The sequence below is a fragment of the Homo sapiens genome, chromosome X (genome assembly GCF_000001405.40).
Source record: "Homo sapiens chromosome X, GRCh38.p14 Primary Assembly".
Taxonomy (NCBI): domain Eukaryota; kingdom Metazoa; phylum Chordata; class Mammalia; order Primates; family Hominidae; genus Homo; species Homo sapiens.
The window spans coordinates 259,923-275,686 of NC_000023.11; the positions used below are offsets into that span (position 1 = coordinate 259,923).

General features: G+C 56.6%; 1 annotated feature.

Moving 5' to 3' along the window:
- Positions 10,998–11,579: an enhancer, noted in NCBI's record as "H3K4me1 hESC enhancer chrX:187587-188168 (GRCh37/hg19 assembly coordinates)". NCBI's record gives its function as "activates a minimal SCP1, AML or CMV promoter by ChIP-STARR-seq in naive H9 embryonic stem cells {active_cell/tissue: H9 hESC(naive)}" and the evidence as "EXISTENCE:reporter gene assay evidence [ECO:0000049][PMID:30033119]".

Below are 15,764 nucleotides of genomic sequence, written 5' to 3' on the forward strand. Positions count from 1 at the left end.
GCACCTTCCCTGACCGTGAGGGCCCCCCTCCCTCCCACCAACGTTTTCCTGCATATTCCTCCCTGGGGTGAAGCCCTGGGTCTGCAGGGACGACCGGGATCCACTCTCCTCGCAGACACGGCTTCTGTTCTTACATCTCTGCTAAGTATTTCTTTCGGAGAATCTGGATTAGTCAGCTTCTTCCTTCAGCTCTCAGCTTCCTCGACCTCCGGGGTGTGGTTTGCACAGACCCGGCCCCTGCGGAAACAGGTGCTAAATGCTAGTGAATGGACCCATTAGAATAGTTAATTCTGGCCGGGCACGGTGAAAATGGTTAACTGTGGCCGGGCGCGGTGGCTCACACCTGTAATCCGAGCACTTTGGGAGACCGAGGTGGGCGGATCATGAGGTCAGGAGTTTGAGACCAGCCTGGCTGAGGCAGGAGAATTGCTTGAACCTGGTGTAATGTGAAAAAAAAACCAGTACGAAGCACAGCTCACAAGGCCTTCCCCCTTTAGGCTTAGAACAATAGCGGGGCGCAGTGGCTCACGCCTGTAATCCCAGCACTTTGGGAGGCCAAGGCAGGCGGATCACGAGGTCAGGAGGTCGAGACCATCCTGACTAACCTGGTGAAACCCCGTCTCTACTAAAAATACAAAAAATTAGCCGGGTGTGGTGGCGGGTGCCTGTAGTCCCAGCTACTCGGGAGGCTGAGGCAGATAAATAATTGCTTGAACCCAGGAGGTGGAGGTTGTGGTGAGCCGAGATCACGCCACTGCACTCCAGCCTGGGCGACAGAGCGAGACTCCATCTCAAAAAAAAAAAAAAAAAAAAAAAAATGAAGCCTGCAATCCCAGCACTTTGGGAGGCTGAGGCAGGTGGATCACGAGGTCAGGAGTTCAAGACCAGCCTGGCCAAGATGGTGAAACGCCGTCTCTACTAAAAATAAAAGAAATTAGCCAGACATGGTGGCGGGTGCCCGTCATCCCAGCTACTCCGGAGGCTGAGGCAGGAGAATCGCTTGAACCCGGGAGGCGGAGCTTGCAGTGAGCCGAGATGGCACCATTGCACTCCAGCCCGGGCAACAAGAGCGAAACTCCGTCTCAAAACAGAAAAAAATATAGGGTCTCAAACCACACCTCATGAAGCCCAGGGATGGGCTTTTGGGGTGGGCCCCACCGTGAGGTATGTGGGTTTCAAAGCAGTTCTCTGGGGGCACAGAGCACCTTGGGAATCAGCAGGGAAAATGGATCTGGGCAGGCTCCGGCCCTGACATGGACCTGGGGTTCCGGGGACCCCTCTTCTGGGCCAGCCAGGCCCCCTTGCGCCTGTGCCCCTCTGGCGACGTACCCCGGCCTTTGCAAGCTGTGTGCGCTCTTCCCACCACCTCCAGGCGGTGCACGGCGTCTGCCTGGGACGAGGACTCCAGAGGCTTCTGTGGAATCTGCCGCTGCCTTCCAAGGCCGGCACCTCCTGCCCCTGCTATCCTTTGACCTTGGGGTTCCCGTCCGAGCCACGGCTGTGACCTCGCGCCCCCAGGAGCTGGCTTTTCTTTATCCTCCTTGGTCTTCCTGTCACCGCCCAAGGGGCTCACCTCGCCGGCTGCGTGGACAGAGTGATTTATCACTACCACAAAGCTGCAATCCCAGCCGGCTGCGTGGGAGGCCGGAGTTTCCTTATTCCTCAAATCCGTCTCCCCAGAGACCCTGGGACTGGAGTTTTTCAGGATAATTTGCTGGGTAGGAGGTCAGAAAGTGGGGAGTGCTGATTGGTTGGGTCAGAGATGGAATCACAGGGAGTCGAAGCTGTCGTCTGGCGCTGAGTCAGTTCCTGGGTGGGGGCCGCAGACCAGATTAGCCGGTTGATCATCTGGGTGGTGCCAGCTGATCCGTCCAGTGAAGGGTCTGTGACATATCTCAGCACTGATTGTAGGTTTCACAAAAGCGATGTGAGCAGGAGCAATTTGAGGAGGGTCAGAAACTTGCAGCCTCCAGAGGCCAGAGTCCTAAACCATCATTTCTAATCCAGGGGATAATCTCTTAGTCCTGTAAACACGGCCTAGTCCCCAGGCAAGAAGGAGGTTTGCACTGGGAAAGGGCTATTATCATCTTCGTGTCAAAGCTAAACTATAAACTAAGTTCCTCCCAAAGATAGTGTGGGTGACACCCATGAGTGAAGAAGGACAGCTTGGAGACAGCTTGGAGACAGCTTGCAGACAGCGTGGAAGTTCGAAGCAAGACGGACTCAGTGAGGTTAGCTCTCCTTCACTGCCCTAATGTTCTCACTTACAATTTTATCAGGCCGGGCGCGGTGGCTCATGCCTGTAATCCCACCACTCTGGGAGGCTGAGGTGGGAGGATCACAGCGTCAGGGGTTTGAGACCAGCCTGGCCAATGTGGTAAAACCCCGTCTCTAATAAAAATACGAAAACTAGCCGAGTATGGTGGTGGGTGCCTGTGGTCCCAGCTACCCAGGAGCTTGAGACAGGTGAATGGCTCGAACATGGGAGGCGAAGGTTGCAGTGAGCCGAGATCGCGCCACTGCCCTGCAGCCTGGGTGACAGAGCGAGACTCTGTCTTAAAAAAAAAAAAAAGAAAGAAAAATTGTTTTTGCAAAAATGGTTTCAATCTCAGGGAGTAGAGCCCTTTCCTGTGGGACCCGCCTTGCCCAGCTCCCTAGCTCCCTCCCTGCCCGGCCACCCTGCAGGATGCCAGGGTTGGGGGTCTCTGGGGGTTACCAAGGAGGCCCACCTGTTCCTGGGGGCTGCCTAGAGAGCCCCCACCCACGGGGAGCTGAGGGCCTCAGAGGAGGAGCAGAGACTCCAGTTCCTGCTAGGGTCAGTTGAGGTTATCTGTAGTTAATTTTTATCTAAAAAGTGATGCAAGCTTATTTTTAAAATGCAAACAGGCCGGTGAAGTGGCTCACGCCTGTAATCCCAGCACCTTGGGAGGCTGAGGTTGGGGGATCGCTTGAGCCCCAGATTTAGAGACCAGCCGGGGCAACATAGCCAGGTCCTGTCTCTACAAAAAATAATAATTATAAATAAATAAAAATAAAAATTCAACTGTAAAGATGTTTATAAAGTAAAAAAGGAAAAAATGTCTTTTTTAACCTCTCCTATTCTTCAGAAAAGGTAACCTATTCATAGTCAATACTTATTTGTAATCATTCAATTTGCAATTTAATTAATCATTGAATTTTACATACAATTTGCATTTTTGTTTTTAATCATTCAATGTGAAATTATATAATGTCAACTTACCCATTTCAAAGTGTGCACTGCAGTGGCATTTAGTAGTCACAAGCTTGGCAGGATCTTTTTTTTTTTTTTTTTTTGAGATAATCTCTCTCTCTAGGTCTGTCACCCAGGCTGGAGTGCAGTGGCGTGATCTCGGCTCACCACAACCTCCACCTCCCGGGTTCAAGTAATTCTGCCTCAGCCTCCCGAGTAGCTGGGACTACAGGCGCCCGCCACCACACCCGGCTGATTTTTTGTATTTTTAGTAGAGACGAGGTTTCACCATGTTAGCCAGGATGGTCTCCATCCTCTGACCTCGTGATCCACCCGCCTCGGCCTCCCAAAGTGCTGGGATGACAGGCGTGAGCCACCGCGCCCGGCCGCGGAGTTTTATTTTTTATTTTATTTATTTATTTATTTATTTATTTATTTATTTATTTTTGAGATGGAGTCTCGCTCTTTCACCCAGGCTGGAGTGTCTCAAAAAAGGAAATGAAATATATATATGTGTATATGAAGAAGAGTAAGATGGAATATATTTTACAACAATCAGTGTATATGGCCTGTATACCTGAAATAAAAGAGGAAACCAGCTGTGGTCAAAAACTGAATCAGGGGCCGGACGCGGTGGCTCACGCCTGTAATCCCAGCACTTTGGGAGGCCGAGGCAGGTGGATCACATGAGGTCAGGAGTTCGAGACCAGCCTGGCCAACATGGTGAAAAACAGTCTCTGCTAAAAATACAAAAAATTAGCCGGGTGTGGTGGCGGGCACCTGTAATCCCAGGTACTCACTTGGGAGGCTGAGGCAGGAGAATCACTTGAACCTGGAAGGCGGAGGTTGCAGTGAGCCAAGATCGTGCCACTGCACTCCAGCCTGGGAGACAGAGTGAGACTCTGTCTCAAAAATAAAAGAAAAAAGATCAACCTGAGCCAGCACAGGCTTCTTGTACCCTGAGCTGTGGCTTCTTCCCTGCGTGGAAACAACAGGTGTCTGTCGTTGGCTTCAAGGTCGGCGGCGTCTGAACCGCCTCTAAGGGGCAGGGTTGGGGACAGTGGGGAATCCAGGTCCGGTCGGGAACGCCCGTGTGGATTTGCAGACGCTGTAGTTTTGGGGATGTGGAAGAAAAATAAGTCTTAGGCTGGGTGCGGTGGCTCATGCCTGTAATCTCAGCACTTTGGGAGGCTGAGGCAGGAGAATCGCTTGAACCCAGGAGGTGAAGGTTGCAGTGAGCCGAGATCGCGCCATTGCACTCCAGCCTGGGTGACAGACCGAGATTCTGTCTGAAAAATAAAAATAAAAAATAAAATAAAGTGGGCCGGGCGCGGTGGCTCAGGCCTGTCATCCCAGCACTTTGGGAGGCCTAGGTGGGTGGATCACGAGGTCAGGAGATCGAGACCATCCTGGCTAACACAGTGAAACCCCGTCTCTACTAAAAATACAAAAAATTAGCCGGGCATGATGGCTGGTGCCTGTAGTCTCAGCTACTCAGGAGGCTGAGGCAGAGAATGGCGTGAACCCGGGAGGCGGAGCTGGCAGTGACCCGAGATCGCGCCATTGCACTCCAGCCTGGGTGACAGAGCGAGACTCTGTTTCCACAAAAAAAAAGAAAGAAAGAAAGAAGAAAGAAAGAAAAAGAAAGAGAGAGAGAGAAAGAAAAGAAAGAAAGAAAAGAAAGAAAGAAAGAAAGAAGAAAGAAAGAAAGGAAAGAAAGAAAAGAAAGAAAGAAAGAAAAAGAAAGAAAGAAAGATAGAAAGAAAGAAAGAAAAGGACAGGACACACAGAAAGCAGAGAAACAGCTGCATTGGGTGTGGGTTGGCGTTTACCTTGTTTGAACCCGGTTGGAACATTTGGCTGCCTTTGGCTGAGATTCAGTGATTGCCACAAGAGTAGGTTCTGGTCTGTTGACACCTCCTGTTACGTCACAGTTCACTATGTACAGAGAAATCTTTAGGCCGAACTTAAAATATGTTGGGAGGCAACTTCAGGAACCATCAATATTGTAGACAGAAGTTTCTCTTTTCACCTTTTTTGGTAGACACAGGATTTCACTGTGTCCCCCAGGCTGGAGTGCAGCCTCGACCTCCTAGACTCAAGTGATCCTCCCTCCTCAGCCTCCTGAGTAGCTGGGACTACAGGAGGAGGGAAGAGGTCTCTGTAGCTGGTCCTACAAGTGCACACCACTACGCCCAGCTAATTTTTATATTTTTTGTAGAGACAGGGTCTTGCCATGTTGCTCAGGCTCGTCTGGAACTCCTGGGCTCAAGCGATCTGCCTGCCTCGGCCTCTCCCAAAAGTGCTGGTTTTTCAATCTCTGTTGACTTGATCAGTGGAAAATGGTAATCGATTTTAACGTTCAATACCGGTGTGTGGTAGCATATATTTGTATGTGTTTTGACAACTCTATGCAAAGTCGAGTGATTCTCCTGCTGTGTGTGATCAGAGGACATTTTGGGACATTTAGGGCTGTGTTACAATTTTAAGCGTGGGGACTTGGAGTATGAATGATTAGCATGGGACCAGGTGGGCAGGTGCGCCTGGCATCAGGGGTGAGAGGGCCGCATACCTGACTCCACTCCTCATCCCTGACTTCCTTCTCCAGCTCAGCTGTGGCACGGGCACCCTTGTGCCAGAGGAAACGGGCACTTTTTTCTTTCTCTTTCTTTTCCTTCCCTCCCTCCCTCCCTCTCTCTCTCTCTCTCTTTCTTCTTTCTTTTTTTCTTTTCTTTTCTTTTTGGAGACGGAGTCTATTGCTGTCCCCCAGGCTGGAGTGCAATGGCACGATCTCCACTCACTGCAAGCTCCGCCTCCCGGGTTCACGCCATTCTCCTGCCTCAGCCTCCCGAGTAGCTGGGACTACAGGCGCCCGCCACCACGCCCGGCTAATTTTTTGTATTTTTAGTAGAGACGGGGTTTCACCGTGTTAGCCAGGATGGTGTCGATCTCCTGACCTCGTGATCCACCTGCCTCGGCCTCCCAAAGTGCTGGGATGACAGGCGTGAGCCATCGCGCCCGGCTGATTCCTGTTCCTTCTGCCCCTCTCTGGAGGTGTCTGCTTCTGGCTTCTGACTCTGCTTCCCAGGCTGTAGGAATAGCTCCCCTGCGCCTAACCCCTTATGAGAAACAAAGCTGTCCTTTGCAGCCTCACCATTCTTTTTTTGTTTTGTTTTTTGTTTGTTTGTTTGTTTTTTTGAAACAGAGTCTGGTTCTGTCCCCCACGCTGGAGTGCCATGGCTAGATCTTGGCTCACTCCAACTTCCGCCTTCCGGGTTCAAGTGATTCTCCTGCCTCAGCCTCTCAAGGAGCTAGGATTACAGGTGAGCATCACCACACCCGGCTAATTTTTTATATTTTTGGTCTCGAACTCCTGACCTGAAGTGATCTGCCCGCCTCAGCCTCCCAAAGTGCTGAGATGACAGGCGTGAGGCACCGCACCTGTCCTTTTTTTTTTTTTTTTTTGAGATGGAGTTTCACTATTGCAGCCCAGGCTGGAGTGCAGTGGCACAACCTCGACTCACTGCAACCTCTGCCTCCTGGGTTCACGCAATTCTCCCGCCTCAGCCTCCCCAGTAGCTGGGATTACAGGCATTCACCACTATGGCTGGCTAATTTTTGTATTTTTAGTAGAGACGGGGTTTCACCATGTTGGCCAGGCTGGTCTTGAACTCCCGACCTCACGGATCCACCTGCCTCAGCCTCCCAAACTGCTGGGATGACAGGCGTGAGCCGCTGCACCCAGCCAGCCTTACCATTCTTTAGTCGATACTTATAATGCAAAATCGCGCCCTGCTTCCTGAACCCCCAAACCAGCAGAGAGAGGAGCTACAGACGTGGAGAATACTTTTTCCAGCGGTGTGATTTAGGAAGCCTATACGTGTTGCTCATAAAAATCAGTATCTCTGGCCGGGTGCGGTGGCTCACGCCTGTCATCCCAGCACTTTGGGAGGCCAAGGTGGGCGGATTGCCTGAGGTCGGGAGTTTGAGACCAGCCTGGCCAACATGATGAAACCCTGTCTCTACTAAATTAGCCGGGCGTGGTGGCGGGTGCCTGTAATCCCAGCTACTTGGGAGGCTGAGGCAGGAGAATCGCTTGAACCCGGGAGATGGAGGTTGCAGTGAGCCGCGATTATCTCAGCCTTCCCGGTAGATGGGATTACAGACGCGTGCCACCAGGCCCAGCTAAATTTTGTATTTTTTTTTTTTTGGTAGAGACAAGGTTTCATCATGTTGGCCATCCGCCCGCCTTGGCCTCCCAAAGTTGTGTCTTTTCTCTGGTAAAGGGGTAAGACTCAGCTTCGGAGACACAATTCTCTATCCTTTTCATGTCATTTTGCTTCTCGGCAAGGACAGGGGAAAACAGAATTGATGACTTTACTTTTATTTTTTATTTTTTGAGACGGAGACCAAGCTGGAGTGCAGGGGCGCGATCTCGGCTCACTGCAACCTCCGCCTCCCCTTTTCAAGCGATTCTCTGCCTCAGCCTCTGGAGTAGCTGGGATTACAGGCACCCGCCACCTCGCCCGGCTATTTTTTTTTTTTTTTTTTTTTTTAGTAGAGACGGGATTTCACCATGTTGCCCAGGCTGGTCTCGAACTCCAGAGCTCAGCTCAGGCAATCCACGCGTCTGGGCCTCCCAGAGTGTTCGGATGACAGGCGTGAGCCACCACGCCCGGCCCGGCGACGGTTTTAAACAAGGCAGCTCGGAACAGAGCAGCTTCGGGAATCGCACCTGCAGAATGAGATCACGTAGCCTCCGGTCTCGGCTCACGCAGGTGTGCTCTGAGCCCGTCACGGCCCGGCCTGAGGCCCCGTGAGCCGTGCGGCTGCCCCATGCTGTTGAAACCCGGGTCCGGGGCTCCCAGCTTTGTGCCTCTGTTCCCGGCGACGCCCGCACGGTGCCACCTCTCAGAGACCCTCCCTGCTGGCTCTCAACCACCCGTGACAACTGCGAGCCGGAAACAGGGTGGGATAATACCTTGGACCCAATAAAGGTGCTGGCCCAGGGTCCCTCTCTGCTGCATTCCTCACCACCCAGTGTGGGTGGGGCCTGCAGGGCCCGGGACCCATAAATAATCAAATCCTTACCTCCGCCTGGGTGGGACCTGCAGGACCCGGGACCCATAAATAATCAAATCCTTACCTCCGCCTGGGTGGGGCCTGCAGCACCCGGGACCCATAAATAATCAAATCCTTACCTCCGCCTGGGCGGGGCCTGCAGGACCCGGGACCCATAAATAATCAAATCCTTACCTCCGCCTGGGCGGGGCCTGCAGCACCCGGGACCCATAAATAATCAAATCCTTACCTCCGCCTGGGTGGGGCCTGCAGGACCCGGGACCCATAAATAATCAAATCCTTACCTCCGCCTGGGCGGGGCCTGCAGCACCCGGGACCCATAAATAATCAAATCCTTACCTCCGCCTGGGCGGGGCCTGCAGCACCCGGGACCCATAAATAATCAAATCCTTACCTCCGCCTGGGTGGGGCCTGCAGCACCCGGGACCCATAAATAATCAAATCCTTACCTCCGCCTGGGTGGGGCCTGCAGCACCCGGGACCCATAAATAATCAAATCCTTACCTCCGCCTGGGCGGGGCCTGCAGGACCCGGGACCCATAAATAATCAAATCCTTACCTCCGCCTGCGTGGGACCTGCAGGACCCGGGACCCATAAATAATCAAATCCTTAGCTCCGCCTGGGTGGGGCCTGCAGGACCCGGGACCCATAAATAATCAAATCCTTACCTCCGCCTGGGTGGGGCCTGCAGCGCCCGGGACCCATAAATAATCAAATCCTTACCTCCGCCTGGGTGGGGCCTGCAGCACCCGGGATCCATAAATAATCAAATCCTTACCTCCGCCTGGGTGGGGCCTGCAGGACCCGGGACCCATAAATAATCAAATCCTTACCTCCGCCTGGGCGGGGCCTGCAGGACCCGGGACCCATAAATAATCAAATCCTTACCTCCGCCTGGGCGGGGCCTGCAGCACCCGGGACCCATAAATAATCAAATCCTTACCTCCGCCTGGGCGGGGCCTGCAGGACCCGGGACCCATAAATAATCAAATCCTTACCTCCGCCTGGGTGGGGACTGCAGCACCCGGGACCCATAAATAATCAAATCCTTACCTCCGCCTGGGCGGGGCCTGCAGGACCCGGGATCCATAAATAATCAAATCCTTACCTCCGCCTGGGCGGGGCCTGCAGGACCCGGGACCCATAAATAATCAAATCCTTACCTCCGCCTGGGCGGGGCCTGCAGGACCCGGGACCCATAAATAATCAAATCCTTACCTCCGCCTGGGTGGGGCCTGCAGGACCCGGGACCCATAAATAATCAAATCCTTACCTCCGCCTGGGTGGGGCCTGCAGCACCCGGGACCCATAAATAATCAAATCCTTACCTCCGCCTGGGCGGGGACTGCAGCACCCGGGACCCATAAATAATCAAATCCTTACCTCCGCCTGGGTGGGGCCTGCAGCGCCCGGGACCCATAAATAATCAAATCCTTACCTCCGCCTGGGTGGGGCCTGCAGGACCCGGGACCCATAAATAATCAAATCCTTACCTCCGCCTGGGCGGGGCCTGCAGGGCCCGGGACCCATAAATAATCAAATCCTTAGCTCCGCCTGGGTGGGGCCTGCAGGACCCGGGACCCATAAATAATCAAATCCTTACCTCCGCCTGGGTGGGGCCTGCAGGACCCGGGACCCATAAATAATCAAATCCTTACCTCCGCCTGGGTGGGGCCTGCAGCACCCGGGACCCATAAATAATCAAATCCTTACCTCCGCCTGGGCGGGGCCTGCAGGACCCGGGACCCATAAATAATCAAATCCTTACCTCCGCCTGGGTGGGGCCTGCAGCGCCCGGGACCCATAAATAATCAAATCCTTACCTCCGCCTGGGCGGGGCCTGCAGGACCCGGGACCCATAAATAATCAAATCCTTACCTCCGCCTGGGTGGGGCCTGCAGCACCCGGGATCCATAAATAATCAAATCCTTACCTCCGCCTGGGTGGGGCCTGCAGCGCCCGGGACCCATAAATAATCAAATCCTTACCTCCGCCTGGGCGGGGCCTGCAGCACCCGGGACCCATAAATAATCAAATCCTTACCTCCGCCTGGGTGGGGCCTGCAGCACCCGGGACCCATAAATAATCAAATCCTTACCTCCGCCTGCGTGGGACCTGCAGCACCCGGGACCCATAAATAATCAAATCCTTACCTCCGCCTGGGTGGGGCCTGCAGCACCCGGGACCCATAAATAATCAAATCCTTACCTCCGCCTGCGTGGGACCTGCAGCACCCGGGACCCATAAATAATCAAACCCTTACCTCCGCCTGGGCGGGGCCTGCAGCACCCGGGACCCATAAATAATCAAATCCTTACCTCCGCCTGGGTGGGGCCTGCAGCACCCGGGACCCATAAATAATCAAATCCTTACCTCCGCCTGGGTGGGGCCTGCAGCACCCGGGACCCATAAATAATCAAATCCTTACCTCCGCCTGGGCGGGGCCTGCAGCACCCGGGACCCATAAATAATCAAATCCTTACCTCCGCCTGCGTGGGACCTGCAGGACCCGGGACCCATAAATAATCAAATCCTTACCTCCGCCTGGGTGGGGCCTGCAGCACCCGGGATCCATAAATAATCAAATCCTTACCTCCGCCTGGGTGGGGCCTGCAGGCCGGCCGTGGATGCAGGACTGGTAAATAGTCAAACCTTTATCTCCGCCTGGTGTCTCTCCTAGCCATTGGAGGGGTGCTCCCCATGCTAAATATTCGAAACTCAAACGCGGGGTCATGGGATTTTCTAGTGCAGGAGAGGGTTTTCCATTCCAGGAAGCAGCTGGACCAAGGGCTTCCGTGCCCGGCCTTGGGAGGGGTTTGCAAACACCCCTTGTCGGACACAAGGGCACGGTCAACAGGGAAGTCACAGCCATTTACAGGGGCTCACACTTGGCCCACTTCACTCAAGCACCCTTCACAACCCTCGGCTCGCAGAACACAGGCAGCACCGAGGCACGGACGACACGTCCCTCAGCCCACGTGATGTCCTCCCCTCGTGTCCAGCCCACACCTGGCCGCCCAGGACACAGAGGGAGGAAGGGCTGGGCCCCGAGACCACAGTCCACATCACACCAGGACAGAGGAAGGGCCGGGCACTGTGACCTCCGGTCCTCATGACCCTGGGGCACAGCGGGAGGAAGGGCCAGGCCCTGTGACCACAGTCCACATCACACCAGGACACAGAGGAAGGGCCGGGCCCTGTGACCACAGTCCACATCACACCAGGACACAGAGGAAGGGCCGGGCCCTGTGACCACAGTCCACATCACACCAGGACACAGAGGAAGGGCCGGGCCCTGTGACCACAGTCCACATCACACCAGGACACAGAGGAAGGGCCGGGCCTCATGACCACAGTCCACATCACACCAGGACACAGAGGAAGGGCCGGGCCCTGTGACCACAGTCCACATCACACCAGGACACAGAGGAAGGGCCGGGCCCTGTGACCACAGTCCACATCACACCAGGACACAGAGGAAGGGCCGGGCCTCATGACCACAGTCCACATCACACCAGGACACAGAGGAAGGGCCGGGCCCTGTGACCACAGTCCACATCACACCAGGACACGGAGGAAGGGCCGGGCCCTGTGACCACAGTCCACATCACACCAGGACACAGAGGAAGGGCCGGGCCCTGTGACCACAGTCCACATCACACCAGGACACGGAGGAAGGGCCGGGCCCTGTGACCACAGTCCACATCACACCAGGACACAGAGGAAGGGCCGGGCCTCATGACCACAGTCCACATCACACCAGGACACAGAGGAAGGGCCGGGCCTCATGACCACAGTCCACATCACACCAGGACACAGAGGAAGGGCCGGGCCCTGTGACCACAGTCCACATCACACCAGGACACAGAGGAAGGGCCGGGCCTCATGACCACAGTCCACATCACACCAGGACACAGAGGAAGGGCCAGGCCCTGTGACCACAGTCCACATCACACCAGGACACAGAGGAAGGGCCGGGCCTCATGACCACAGTCCACATCACACCAGGACACGGAGGAAGGGCCGGGCCCTGTGACCACAGTCCACATCACACCAGGACACGGAGGAAGGGCCGGGCCCCGTGACCACAGTCCACATCACACCAGGACACAGAGGAAGGGCCGGGCCCCGTGACCACAGTCCACATCACACCAGGACACAGAGGAAGGGCCGGGCCCTGTGACCACAGTCCACATCACACCAGGACACAGAGGAAGGGCCGGGCCTCATGACCACAGTCCAGATCACACCAGGACACAGAGGAAGGGCCGGGCCCTGTGACCACAGTCCACATCACACCAGGACACAGAGGAAGGGCCGGGCCCTGTGACCACAGTCCACATCACACCAGGACACAGAGGAAGGGCCAGGCCTCATGACCACAGTCCACATCACACCAGGACACAGAGGAAGGGCCAGGCCTCATGACCACAGTCCACATCACACCAGGACACAGAGGAAGGGCCGGGCCCTGTGACCACAGTCCACATCACACCAGGACACAGAGGAAGGGCCGGGCCCTGTGACCACAGTCCACATCACACCAGGACACAGAGGAAGGGCCAGGCCTCATGACCACAGTCCACATCACACCAGGACACAGAGGAAGGGCCGGGCCCTGTGACCACAGTCCACATCACACCAGGACACAGAGGAAGGGCCGGGCCCTGTGACCACAGTCCACATCACACCAGGACAGAGGAAGGGCCGGGCCCTGTGACCACAGTCCACATCACACCAGGACACAGAGGAAGGGCCAGGCCCTGTGACCACAGTCCACATCACACCAGGACACGGAGGAAGGGCCAGGCCTCATGACCACAGTCCACATCACACCAGGACACAGAGGAAGGGCCAGGCCCTGTGACCACAGTCCACATCACACCAGGACACAGAGGAAGGGCCGGGCCTCATGACCACAGTCCACATCACACCAGGACACAGAGGAAGGGCCGGGCCCCATGACCACAGTCCACATCACACCAGGACACAGAGGAAGGGCCGGGCCCCGTGACCACAGTCCACATCACACCAGGACACAGAGGAAGGGCCGGGCCCCGTGACCACAGTCCACATCACACCAGGACACAGAGGAAGGGCCGGGCCCTGTGACCACAGTCCACATCACACCAGGACACAGAGGAAGGGCCGGGCCTCGTGACCACAGTCCAGATCACACCAGGACACAGAGGAAGGGCCGGGCCCCGTGACCACAGTCCAGATCACACCAGGACACAGAGGAAGGGCCGGGCCCCGTGACCACAGTCCACATCACACCAGGACACAGAGGAAGGGCCGGGCCCCGTGACCACAGTCCACATCACACCAGGACACAGAGGAAGGGCCGGGCCCCGTGACCACAGTCCACATCACACCAGGACACAGAGGAAGGGCCGGGCCCTGTGACCACAGTCCACATCACACCAGGACACAGAGGAAGGGCCGGGCCCTGTGACCACAGTCCACATCACACCAGGACACAGAGGAAGGGCCGGGCCCTGTGACCTCTGGTCCTCATGACTCTGGGGCACAGCGGGAGGAAGGGCCGGGCCCTGTGACCACAGTCCACATCACACCAGGACACAGAGGAAGGGCCGGGCCCTGTGACCACAGTCCACATCACACCAGGACACGGAGGAAGGGCCAGGCCTCATGACCACAGTCCAGATCACACCAGGACACAGAGGAAGGGCCGGGCCCTGTGACCACAGTCCAGATCACACCAGGACACAGAGGAAGGGCCGGGCCCTGTGACCACAGTCCACATCACACCAGGACACAGAGGAAGGGCCGGGCCTCGTGACCACAGTCCAGATCACACCAGGACACAGAGGAAGGGCCGGGCCCCGTGACCACAGTCCAGATCACACCAGGACACAGAGGAAGGGCCGGGCCCCGTGACCACAGTCCACATCACACCAGGACACAGAGGAAGGGCCGGGCCCCGTGACCACAGTCCACATCACACCAGGACACAGAGGAAGGGCCGGGCCCCGTGACCACAGTCCACATCACACCAGGACACAGAGGAAGGGCCGGGCCCCGTGACCACAGTCCACATCACACCAGGACACAGAGGAAGGGCCAGGCCTCATGACCACAGTCCACATCACACCAGGACACAGAGGAAGGGCCGGGCCCTGTGACCACAGTCCACATCACACCAGGACACGGAGGAAGGGCCGGGCCCTGTGACCACAGTCCACATCACACCAGGACACAGAGGAAGGGCCGGGCCTCATGACCACAGTCCACATCACACCAGGACACGGAGGAAGGGCCGGGCCCTGTGACCACAGTCCACATCACACCAGGACACAGAGGAAGGGCCGGGCCCTGTGACCACAGTCCACATCACACCAGGACACAGAGGAAGGGCCAGGCCTCATGACCACAGTCCACATCACACCAGGACACAGAGGAAGGGCCGGGCCCCGTGACCACAGTCCACATCACACCAGGACACAGAGGAAGGGCCGGGCCCTGTGACCACAGTCCACATCACACCAGGACACAGAGGAAGGGCCGGGCCTCATGACCACAGTCCACATCACACCAGGACACGGAGGAAGGGCCGGGCCCTGTGACCACAGTCCACATCACACCAGGACACAGAGGAAGGGCCGGGCCCTGTGACCACAGTCCACATCACACCAGGACACAGAGGAAGGGCCGGGCCCTGTGACCTCTGGTCCTCATGACTCTGGGGCACAGCGGGAGGAAGGGCCGGGCCCTGTGACTGTGGGAGGAGGCGTGGAAGCCGCTTCCTGCTCCCGTGCCACACCAGGGCACAGGTCATTTTATAGACTCTCCCAGGGCTGTGGAAGGAGGCGGGAACCAGGAGGCTGGTGTCCCCGCAGGGCCTCAGTGAAGGGAGGAGGGAGGAGGAGGAGGGAGGAGGGGGAGGGAGGAAACAGATGGGCCAAGAGGAAGCCACAGGGGGCTTTGGGCAGAGAGGGGGAGTCTCAATGGACAGGAAGAAGGAGGGAGAGGATGGAGAAGGAGCAGGGGGAGGAAGGAGGAGGGGGAGGAGGAGCAGGGGGGAGGGCGGAGTGTGGGGAGGTGACGGGGCCTGAGTTAGGATGGAAAGAGGCGGAGAGGCCGGTGGCCTGTGGCTTGTAGGCCGACCAGATGTCCCTGTGCCAGGACAGCAGCCGCCCTCAAGGTACCCCACAGCTGGGGTGAGGGAGGAAACAGGGAGCCGGGACAGAAATGGGGTGCAGGGAGAGAAGCCCCAGCCGTGGCTATGCGGGAGAATTCCACCCGGGAACATGGGATCCCAAGGCAGCCCTTTGAGCCGTCCACTGCGGCCCCCAAACGTTCCGTGCACTCTCTGAAGCCCACACTGGCCCTGTCCTGGAGTCCAGCCCGGGGTGGGAGACAGCGGGGTGCGTGGGGAGCACCTGCGGGGTGGACCGGAAGCAGCCAGGAGGAGGCAGGAACGGGGCCCTGGACAGACCCCTGACCTGG